General features: G+C 38.7%; 1 protein-coding gene across 1 annotated transcript in view; it reads left to right on the forward strand.

Moving 5' to 3' along the window:
• The window catches only part of SLC4A1AP (solute carrier family 4 member 1 adaptor protein), a 31,081-nt gene extending 20,050 nt beyond the window's left edge, over positions 1 to 11,031 (forward strand). The window contains exons 10-14 of the mRNA NM_018158.3: positions 1,099 to 1,339; positions 3,996 to 4,082; positions 4,762 to 4,829; positions 9,747 to 9,816; positions 10,696 to 11,031. Of these exons, the coding sequence (NP_060628.3) occupies positions 1,099 to 1,339; positions 3,996 to 4,082; positions 4,762 to 4,829; positions 9,747 to 9,816; positions 10,696 to 10,745 (516 nt within the window). The 3' untranslated portion in view covers positions 10,746 to 11,031. The remainder of the gene's footprint in view (positions 1 to 1,098; positions 1,340 to 3,995; positions 4,083 to 4,761; positions 4,830 to 9,746; positions 9,817 to 10,695) is intronic.
• The last annotated feature ends 988 nt before the right edge of the window (positions 11,032 to 12,019 follow it).

Consider the following 12,019-nt stretch of genomic DNA (forward strand, 5'->3'; position numbering starts at 1 on the left):
CCATGGCCAGACTGGTCTCGAACTCCTGACCTCATGATTCACCTGCCTCGGCCTCACTATGTATTCTGAATGAGTAATGGTTTACCTAACAAGTAGGCTTTTCAATCTGTTGCGGTGGGGACTTAGGTTTTAAATAGAAAACTTTTTACTAAACAGCCCTCCTTAGAGAATTTTAGAACTAAGTCCTATATTTAAAAGATAATATAGGCCGGGCGCGGTGGCTCATACCTGTTATCCCAGCACTTTGGGAGGCCGAGGTGGGTGGATTGCTTGAGCTCACTAGTCGAGACCAGCCTGGGCAACATGGTGAAACCCCGTCTCTACTAAAAATACAAAAATTAGCTGAGCACGGTGGCCTGCGCACCTATAACCCCAGCTACTCAGGAGGCTGAGGCAGGAGAATCGCTTGAACCGGGGAGGCAGAGGTTTCAGTGAGCTGAGATCGCACCACTGCACTCCAGCTTGGGCCACAGAGCAAGACTCTGTCTCAAAAAAAAAAAAAAAAAGATATAACCAAGATATGCTTTGGTTCCTTCCCTCTATTCCATAACTGTGATCAACCTTTTCTAATAAATACTTTTATTGAATGGCTTTGATTAGAATATTTAGCTTTATTCTTTGAGAAATGTCTTCCTCCTTTTCTTCAGGATCTGTTTGATGGATTTACATGCCTTGTTTCCTTGAAATTACGCTAAGTCTAAAATGAAAAAGCAGCACAAATGACTTATTTCTGATTGTCTGATTTATTCCTTAGAAGATTTTGTAATCAATTGAAATCCTTTAATATCATGAGTTATAACAGTCCAGAATTCCTGTAGCTGGCACTCATCTGAAATAACTATTTTAGTTCCTTACAAGCTATTTTCAAGTGTTTTGTATTTAGTAATCTTTGACTCTAGGAACTAATAAAGACACTTGTTTAGGGTCTATAGAGGGGTAAAATTTCATGTCAAAGTCCCACCTCCAGCAGACTTCTGTGGAGTTCATCAACCTAAAAAGAGTAAACATTCAGTACATTTAGACTGACCTCCTTGAAAAGATTTTTCTCTTGTTGTCATTAAGTAGAACTACTTGTTCATGGTTTTGTTTCCCTCTTAGAAGTTACCCCCCAAGCGTCCAGAACTCCCTCCAACTCTAATGAGAATGAAAGATGAGCCTGAAGTAGAAGAGGAGGAGGAAGAGGAAGAGGAAGAAGAGAAAGAAAAGGAGGAGCATGAAAAGAAAAAACTGGAGGATGGAAGCCTCAGTAGGCCACAGCCAGAGATAGAGCCAGAAGCAGCAGTGCAGGAAATGAGGCCTCCCACAGATCTCACACATTTTAAAGAAACCCAAACCCATGGTAATATCTTTCTTCTCCTTCCTGTGTTGTTCAGTGGGCAGTTACATTGATTGTGGATAGGTTTTAAAAAGCAAGGCCAGTTCTTGTCTGTGCATTTGACTTTGTATGTGATATACTGACTCTGTAGCAAGGAAACATACTTTCTTGGTCTTCTTCCTTTGACCGCCAGTCATTATTTGTCTTCATTGCAAATTAAGGGCAGTTATTTCCAATCCATTCCAGAATTACAGAAAATTGAAGGCTATGGAATCTGAAACCATAGCTGCTGTGGAATAATCCTGAGCTGCTGCCACTGTGTGAGTTGGAGGGCAGTGGAACAGGGTACATGATGGGGCCTGATCAGGTGGTCTCCGGATAAGTCAACCCCTATTCATTTTTTCCTCCATCCCTAAAACAGAGGCCAAACCATAATTGTACTCATTGGACTAAAGTTCTCAAGAAGGATCTTGCTTCATTCATTTTTGTGTGTTTGGAACCTAGCACAAAACCTGACACATATCCACCCGCCTCAGCAAATATTTGATGAAAAATGTTGAAAGACGGAATAGATTGATATTCATATAGATATATGCATCAATTAATTCTGTATTTTCTATATATATATTCTAATTACAAAGGGTTATATGTTCATTTTAGAAACTATAGATCATACATAAAAGTCCAAAGGAAAAAAAAGAAATCCCCACAACCCCACCCCTAAAGATCATTGTTTATCTTTTTAGTATCCTTTCATCCCTTGTCAACTGCAGGGGTTATTTTCCTGCTGGTTGGCCAAACTGGTTAGGAAGATAAAGATCTCAGAAAATAAGGAGTATGAGGAGAAACAATAAAAACTGGCACTGAATGTATGGGAATGCATGCATGTCTACTTCCACAACAAACCAGGCTTGGCTACATAAAAACTCCAGGCCTGGTATGTAGCCCTTCTCTTGAATCACCTTCATTTGTCTGGGAAACAGAAAAGTTACTGTTTCCTCATCTGTGAGAGGTAAGTATTCTGTATCTGCATTTGTCCTTTTCAAAAAGGTACTTACATGAGCTTGGTCTTTGGGCCATATATTGTGAAGGTGGATATAAACAGGTCAGCAGGAGGGGAGCAATAAGTATCATAATTTTTTTGTTTAACAGACCAAAGTAAGTATGTGTGTGTAAAAATAGCTTAGATTTTGAAACTTGGTTTATAAGATTAAATAATTAGTAAATTTGGCCAGGCACAGTGGCTCACGCCTGTAATCCCAGCACTTTGGGAGGCCGAGGCGGATGGATCACCTGAGGTCAGGAGTTCGAGACCAGGCTGGCCAATGTGGTGAGACCCCGTCTCTACTAAAAATACAGAAAAAATTAGTTGGGCGTGATGGTGCATGCTTGTAATCACAGGTACTCAGGAGGGCTCTGAGCAGGCAGGAGAATTGCTTGAACCCGGGAGACAGAAGTTGCAGTGAATTGAGATCATGCCACTGCTCTCCAGCCTGGGTGATAGAGTGAGACTGTTTCAAAAACAAAACAAAACAAAATTAAATAATTAGTAAATTTGCAGTGATGAGGGATTACCCCAGGCCTTTTTTCCTGTGGTTTGTTTTTATTTTTACTTTAATATTTACTTTTATTGAGACAGAGTCTTACTTTGTTACCCAGGTTGGAGTACTGTGGTGTGATCTTGGCTCTCTGAAGCCTTGACCTCCCAAGGCACATGCTTGTAGAGAAAATAGAGTCATAGGGTCTCCCTATGTTGCTCAAGCTGGTCTCAAACTCCTGGCCTCAAGCAATCCTCTCACCTCAGCCTCCCAAAGTGCTGGGATTATAGGCGTAAGCCACCATGCCCAGTTTATATATTGCTATTTTATAACCTAGTTTTTTTTTTCCTATGCCTTAGACTATTCTTTTTAAAATGTGGTTTCAGAGAAGGAGCATAGTGGTTCATCACATGCATATGCCATAATGTATTTAGTCAACTCTCAATTGTTGAACATGTAGGTTATTTCTTAATTTTTGCTATTACAAACATATATATAACAAATTTTGGGGCTAGGCTGGGTGACTCACACCTGTAATCCCAACATTTTGGGAGGCCGAAGTAGGAGAATGACTTGAGCCCAGGAGTTTGAAACCAGCCTGGACAAGATAGTGAAACTCTATCTCTACAAAAAATTAAAAAAAAAAAATATTGGCCAGGCATGGTGGTACATGCCTGTAGTCCTAGCTACTCTGCAGGCTGAGGCAGGAGGATCTCTGTAGCCCAGGAATTCAAGGCAGCAGTGAGCTATGATTGCCCCACTGCACTCCAGCTTGGGCAACAGAGAAAAACCCTGTTTCTAAAATAATAATAAATTTTGGTGGTCATCTCTGATTTTTAAAAAAATATGTTCTGGGAGTAGAATTTCTAGGCCAAGGAGTATGTACATTTTTGAGGCTTTTAGTAAGTATTGCTAAAAAGTTTTACCTCAATGTTGGCTAGTGTTTTAAGTGGAAAATTGGCAGTTTTCTGTAATACATTTGAAACATATTTATTTAAAACCTTAAGATTAGTTGAAGCTGATGATAATAAAACTGGATGATTATGTACTTAGCTTCTCTTTCTCTTGTTTTTGTTTTTGTTTGTTTGGCTTTCCACCATGAATTAAATCATGACAATATGATTTGATATTGCTTTTTATAGAAAACATGTCTCAACTTAGCGAGGAAGAACAGAATAAAGATTATCAAGACTGTAGCAAAACCACTTCATTGTGCGCAGGACCCTCAGGCAAGTAGTACGGCAGCCTTCATTGCTGCTCTGCACACAGGTGGCTGACTGGTTTCATAAGGGAGGGGCTGGCAGCTGACCTGAAGGCAGCACAGAGAATGGTCCTTTAGTTATGTTGCCACTAGGCCCCTGGACAAAGTTGGAACATAAGAGAGGTTTGTATTTGGTGCCATCCCATTTGCCTTTCTTTTACTCCTCTTCCACCTTCTGGGGTTCCCTCTCCCTCCCCCACAAAGCACCTAATGCCTTGATACTTCCCTCTGGCTGTGCAAAGCTCTCCACAATTTTACATCTCCCAAAGTCAAATATGTACCTATTATGGGAGTAATTCCAAAACTATCTTAAAAGAAATTGTTAAAAGGACTGCTTTACTCTGGTTTTACCTGTAATGGTTAAACTGTGGACTAGTAAAATCAGCCTCATTTTTTTTAAACTTGTTCGCATAATGTGGTTATATTCAAACTTGTAGAACAGCCTTAGGATTTAAAAACTAGGGTTATTCATCCAGGAAAAATTTTCTCTTGATATAGTTTTTACAGCAGTAGAAGGAATTGTTGAGAATTGCATTGTCATGAGCATCTTTTCTTCAATAATTGTAATGTTCTTTTAGGAAGAATTTTGCCTTTTTATTTTACTTATACTGAAAATAGCTATTGCCAGTTTTTTTTTCTTAAATTAGCATCAAAGAATGAATATGAGAAAAGCAGAGGTGAATTGAAGAAAAAGAAAACACCTGGTCCAGGCAAAGTAAGTATTTCACTTGTCTGGGAGTAAAAATGAATCCCTTTGTCATGGACCACATCCAGAAAAGTGAATCTTTGGAGACTGACTTAACAGAGTTCCCAGCAGCCTTATTCCCCTCTCCTAGAAATCTAGATTCTTTGATTTTTGTTTTTGAATTTTCTGTTGTCTTTATCACTCTTTTCCCTATAACTGCTCACATACAAGCTATCTCTTTTATTAGTTTATGAATCTTTCTTTATATCCTAATTTGCCATATAAAGACATTTGAATAACATATTCTTATTTTCCTCCTTTTATTACACAAAAGGTAGGATGTGATGTACTCCATTCTACATCTGTTTTTTTGTTTTATTTATTTATTTATTTATTTAAACCACTCATGGAAATTATTTTGTAACAGTATATTGAGAGTTTCTCACCATATGGAGGACGTTATCTAACAGTTCCTTACAGATGGACACTTGCATTGTTTTTAGTCTTTTATTACAATAATACTATAATGAACAATCTTGTATATATATAATTTTGTGTGGATATAGTAAGCTCCCAGAAGTGCTAGGCTGTATCAGGAGGTCCCCAAGACCACTCACAGGTTAGGTCATTCACGAGAGGACCCAGGTCTCAGCGTATGATTGTACTTGCATCTATGATATACTACAGCAAAAGGACACCAGGCACCATCAGCAAAGGGAGAAGGAACATGGGGCAAAATATGGTGGAAACCTGGCACAGGCTTCCAAGGATGTCTTCCAGTAGAGTCACACAGGACATGCTTAATTCCCCTAAGAACAAGTTGTGGCAACACTTGCGAAATGTTGCTAACTAAGGAAGCTCATTAGAGACTCAGTGCCCAGGGTTTTTATTGGCGACTGATCACATAGGCATTCCCTGCCTGGCATCTACCAAAATTCAGACTTCCAGAAGGAAAGCAGGTGTTCAGCATGAATCATATTGTTTGTACAAACAGTTTAGGCACAATGAGCCATTCTTGTCAGTTAGGGTAGCAGAAACCTTCCCAAAGTCTGGATTCCCAGATGCCAGCCAAGGGCAAACCTTGCAAATAGGTTTTCAATGGATAGCAGTCAGCCTTGCTCTGTTAACTTTTCTAAACCTTGGCCAAAAGGTAAATGCCAAATTTCCCTCTATGGGGGCTGTACCATTTAGCACTCACACCTGCAGTGTGTTAACTGCCCCTTTTAAAGAGTGTCATGTAACTCACTGGCTGAAAATCAGCTTGTGATGCTTTATGGAAAAAAGGTTCAGAGAGAGAATATTCCCCCAAGTAGGTTACTTATGTCAAGATCATTAATAGAAACTGTTCTCTGTTAGTTTTTGTTTGCTAACAGGCATAAGGACAATAGTTCTTAGAGTTAAAATTATACCTATATATATAATTTTTAAAAAATAGCTTTTGGGTTACAAATGGTTCTTTGGTTACATAGATGAATCATATAGTGATGAAATCTGAGATTTTAGTGCACCTGTCACCCAAGTAGTGTACATTGTACCCAATATGCAATTTTTTATTCCTCATCCCCTTCCCAGCCTCCTCCCTCTGAGTCTCCAAAGTCCATCATACCACTCTGTATGCCTTTGCATACCCATAGCTTAGCTCCCACTTATAAGTGAGAACATATGGTATTTGGTTTTCCACTCCTAAGTTACTTTGCTTAAAATAATGGCCTCTAGCTCCAAGTTGCTGCAAAAAAATTTTATTTTTTATTTTTATTTTTATTTTTGAGACCGAGTCTTGCTCTGTCACCCAGGCTGGAGTGCAGTGGTGTGATCATGGCTCACTGCAAGCTTCAATCTCTTGGGCTCAAGTGATCCTCCCACCTCAGACTCCTGAGTAGCTGGGACTACAGTTGTGTACCACAATGCCCAGCTAATTTTTGTGGGTTTTTTTGTAGAAATAAGTCTTGTTTTGTTGCCCGGGCTGGTCTCAAACTCCTAGCTTCAAATGATCCTGGGATGCTGACTTTTATTGAATGCTTTTTCTGCATCTATTGAGATGATCATATGGTTTTTGTTTTTAATTCTGTTGCTGTGATGTATCATATTTATTGACTTGCATATGTTAAACCATCCCAGCATCCCTGGGATGAAACCCACTTGATCATGGTGTATTGAATAGGGTGTATTATTTTTCTGATATGCTGTTGGATTCAGTTTACTAGTCTTTCATTGAGGATTTTTGCGTCTGTGTTCACCAGGGATATTGGGCTCTAGTTTTCTTTTTTTTTGTTATGTCCTTTCCTAGTTTTTGTATCAGGGCGATATTAGCTTCATAGAATGAGTTAGGGAGGATTCCTTCTTTCTCATTCTTTTGGAATACTTTCAGTAAGATTGGTACCAATTCTTCCTTGAATGTCTGGTAGAATCTGACTGTGAATCCTTCTGGTCCTGGGCTTTTTTTTGTTGGTGGTAATATTTTTTAATTACTGACTCAATCTCACTGCTTTTTATTGGTTTGGTCAGGATTTCTGTTTCTTCCTGATTCAGTCTAGGAGGGTTGTGTGTTTCCAGGAATTTATCCATTTCTACTAGATGTTCTAGTTTGTGTGCATAGAGGTGTTCATAGTAGTCTCAAAGGATCTTTTGTATTTCTGTGGTGTTGCTTGTAATGTCTCCATTTTCCTTTCTAATTGAACTAATATAGAATCTTCTTTTCTTGTCTAATCTAGCTAATGATCTATGAATTTAGTTTATCTTTTCAAAAACCACCTTTTTTTTCATTGATCTTTTGCAGTTTCTTTTGTTTCAATTTCATTTAGTTCTGCTCTGATCTTTGTTATTTCTTTTATGCTAGCTTTGGGTTTAATCTGTTCTTTTTTTTTTTTTTTTTGAGACAGAGTCTCATTCTGTTGCCCAGGGAGTGCAGTGGTGCGATCTCAGCTCACTGCAACCTCTGCCTCCCGGGTTCAAGCAATTTTCCTGCCTCAGCTCTCCTGAATAGCTGGGATTACAGGCGTGTGTCACCACGCCCAGCTAATTTTTGTACTTTTGTTAGAAGCAGGATTTCACCATGTTGACCAGGCTCGTCTTGAACTCCTGGACTCAAGCGATCTGCCCACCCCAGCCTCTCAAAGTGCTGGGATTATAGGTATGAGCCACCGCGCCCAGCCTCATTTGGTCTGTTCTTGTTCCTCTAGTTCCTTGAGGTGTGACATTAGGTTGTCAATTTGTGATCTTTCAGACTTTTCTCTCTCTCTCTCTCTCTCTTTTTTAAATAGAGATGAGGTCTTGCTATGTTATCCAGGCTGGTCTTGAACTCCTGAGCTCAAGCAATCCTCCTGCCTTGGCCTTTCAAAGTGCTGGGGTTATAGGCGTGAGTCACCATGCCTGGCTCAAGACTTCTTGATGTAGGCATTTAACACTATAAATTTTTCCTCTTAGCACTGCTTTTGCTGTATCCCAGAGGTTTTGATAACTTGTGTCACTATTATTTATTTTGAAGAATTTTTAAATTTCCAGTGATTTCATTGTTAACCCAAAAATCATTTAGAAGCAGATTGTTTAATTTCCATGTATTTGTATAGTTTTGAAGGTTCCTTTTCAAGTTGGTTTCTAGTTTTATTCGACTGTGGTCTGAGAAGATACTTGATATGATTTCAATTTTTTTAAATTTGAGATTTGTTTTGTGGTCTATCATATGGTCTATCTTGGAGAATATTTCAGGCACTGATGAGAAGATTGTATATTCTGCAGTTCTGGAGTAGATGTTCTGTAAATATGTTAGTTGATTTGTTCTGGAGTATAGTATAGGTCCAGTGTTTGTTGACTTTCTGCCTTGATGATCTGTTTGCTGTTGTCAGTGGAGTGTGAAGTCTTCCACTATCATTGTGTTGCTGTCTTTCTCTTTTGTTAGGTCTGGTAGTAGTTGTTTTATGAATCTGGGAGCTCCAGTTTTAGGTGCATATATATTTAGGATTGTAATATCTTCTTGTTGGGTTGATCCTTTTATAATTATATAATAGCCTTCTTTGTCTTTTTTTCAGTGTTGTTGCTTTAAATTCTATTTTATTTGATATAAGAAAAGCTACTGCTGCTTGCATTTGGCTTCCATTTGTATGGAATATCTTTTTCCACTCCTTTACCTTTAGTCTATAAGAAGCCTCACATGTTAAGTGAGTCTCTTGAAGATGGCAGATATTTGGTTTGCGATTTATTTATTTATTTATTTATTTATTGAGACGGAATCTCGCTCTGTAGCTCAGGCTGGAGTGCAGTGGTGTGATCTCAGCTCACTGTAACCTCTGCCTCCCGGGTTCAAGTGATTCTCCTGCCTCAGCCTCCCGAGTAGCTGGGACTACAGGCACACACCACCACACTTGGCTAATTTTTGTATTTTTAGTAGAGATTTTGCAACGTTAGCCAGACTGGTCTTGAATTCCTGACCTCAGGTGATCCACCCACCTCAGCCTCCCCAAGTGCTGGGATTACAGGTGTGAGCCACTGCGCCCAGCCTGTGATTTTTTTTTTTTTTTTGAGTGGAGTATTTAGACCATTTACATTGAATGTTAATATTGAGATGTGAGGTACTGTTACAGTCATCATGTTGATTGTTACCTAGATACTTTTCTTCCTTCATTACATTATTGTTTTATAGGCCCTGTGAGTTTTATGCTTTCAAGAGGTTCTATTCTGGTGCATGCCAACCTTTTGTTTTAAGATTTAGAACTCCTTTTTGCATTTCTTGTAGGTCTGGTCTGGTAGTGACAAATTCCCTCAGCATGTGCTTGTCTGAAAAAGACTTTATTTCTCTTTCATTCATGAAACTTAGTTTTGTTGGATACAAAATTCTTGACTAATGTTTATTCTGCTTAAGGAGGCTAACAATAGGACCCCAATCCCTTCTGCAGTTGTAAGGTTTCTGGAGAGAAATTCTTGTGAATAAAACAATCCATCTTTTCTTTTTAGCTTCCACCAACACTTTCTTCCAAATATCCTGAAGATGACCCAGACTACTGTGTGTGGGTCCCACCTGAAGGTAGATTGTTTTTACTTTTTTTTCCTCTAAGGTTCATTTATTTATATTTTTGAATAGGTAATATAGATTTAAGGTTCAACATAAGAAAGTTACAAGAGTATGTAGTGATAATTTGTATACCATGTTTGGATCCTTATTCAAACAAACAACTGTTTAAAAAAATTATTAGCCAGTCAGATAATTTTGAACACTACCTGGATATTTGATGATACTAAGAAATTATTTTTTATTTTTTTAAAGTGTGAATGATGTTGAGTTATGTTTTTTGGAAAAAGTCCTTGTCTTCTAGGAATATATACGGAAGTGTTTACAGGTGTAATGTTATCTGGGTTTTACCAAGTCAAAAGAAAGGAAAACAATTCTGGCTGTGCCTCAGCTACTCGGTTGTTTTCCTCACAAGACAACCAATTGTTGTTAGTTTCTTATGGATACTTATATATAAAATGCTAAGTAGAGAGGAGCATCTATAGAAAAAAAATCATAAAAGTTAACCTGCTGGATCAAAGGTATAAACATTTTAAAGATATTATAAATTGCATTCTATAGAGATTGTACCAGTTTTATGCTCATACACACACCCTTAAAGCAATGTATGAGATACTTACTTCCTCATATGTTCATCACAGCTTGAGATTTCTAATATATTAGTAACTAATATAATTTAGTTACTTGAGATGTCTGCTTTTTCTATGCTAACAAATGTTAGGGTAGAAATGAAAGAGGGCTGTATTTTGAAATTTCATACAAAAAGTAAAATTTCTACCGTAGAATAAACCTTTTTGTCTATTTTACTTTTTGGCCTACTGATATCTGGATATCTTTTCTCTCCTGACTTTGGAAGAGTAAATAATGTATTTCTTTTTTTATATTCTGATCTAGGTCAAAGTGGAGATGGCAGAACCCATCTTAATGACAAGTATGGCTATTGATTGCTTCAGAATCCCAAAAGAAAACCTTGTGGACCATGTGACATGGAATATTTGGGATAATGTATCAAATTGAATGGCCAGAGAAGTTTAGATGATTATTTGTAAGATCTGGTGACTGGCTTTTCGTTCTGTGTTCTTGGCTTCCTAAATTTATCTGCCCATATGATTCTCATGCATTTGATATTTATGTTTAAAAGTGTTTATATATGTATGTAAAAAGGGAACCATATGTTTTGAGAATTTGTAAAGTGAGAGACATGATCCTATTAAAATAAGAAGGCAAAAATGTTCCTAATATTTTATTTTATTTTATTTTTTTTAAGAGACAGGGTCTTACTCTGTCACCTAGGCTGGGGTACAGTGGTGCAATCCTAGCTCACTGTAGCCTTGAACTCCTGGGCTCAAGCAATCCTCCCACCTCAGCCTCCCAAGTACCTGGGACTATAGGCATGTACCACCACCACACCTGGCTAATTATTTTATTTAAATTTTTTGGAGAGATGAAGTCTTGCCATGTTGCCCAGGCTTGTCTTGAACTCCTGGCCTCAAGTGATCCTCCTGCCTCAGCCTCCCAAAGCACTGGAACCTCATTTTTTTTTCTTTTTTTCTGAGACAGGGTCTCACTCTGTTGCCCAGAGTGAGTGCAGTGGCATGATCACAGCTTACTGCAGTGGCATGATCACAGCTTACTGCAGTCTCAACTTCCCAGGCTCAAGTGATTCTCCTGCCTCAGCCTCCTGAGTAGCTGGTACTACAGGTACATGCCACTGTGCCTGGCTAATTTTTATATTTATAGAGATGGGGTCTCACCATGTTGCCCAGGCTGGTCTCAAACTCCTGGGCTCAAGCAATCCCGCTCTCCTCAGCCTCCTAAAGTACTAGGATTACAGGCCACTGCATCCGGGACCTAATGTTGGGACCTTATGTTGATTAAAGGTCACAACCTCTTTCCTTAAGACTTAAGGACTATGCTTTTCCTGAGCAATAGGGTGCTTCTGGTGATTGGGTTGCAGAACTCACTGATATTGCCTCCTCAAATAACTGTTGAAATATGAGGTTATGCTATGGGTGTGACTCCGGGTGTCCCTGTCATTCTTGGTACTAAAAGTAGGTTCACAGTGGGGGCTTCCTACAACCTTCAACTATAATCTTCCTACCAGGTTTGAGAATAGACCCTGACTTATCAGGACAAAGTTAACTATGGCACCACCTTGTGCATTCAGGCACTAGTCCTGATGAAAACTCAGCCTGCTGAATGTCCAGAACTCTGACCA

This window comes from Homo sapiens, chromosome 2, assembly GCF_000001405.40.
Source record: "Homo sapiens chromosome 2, GRCh38.p14 Primary Assembly".
Classification (NCBI taxonomy): Eukaryota; Metazoa; Chordata; class Mammalia; order Primates; family Hominidae; genus Homo; species Homo sapiens.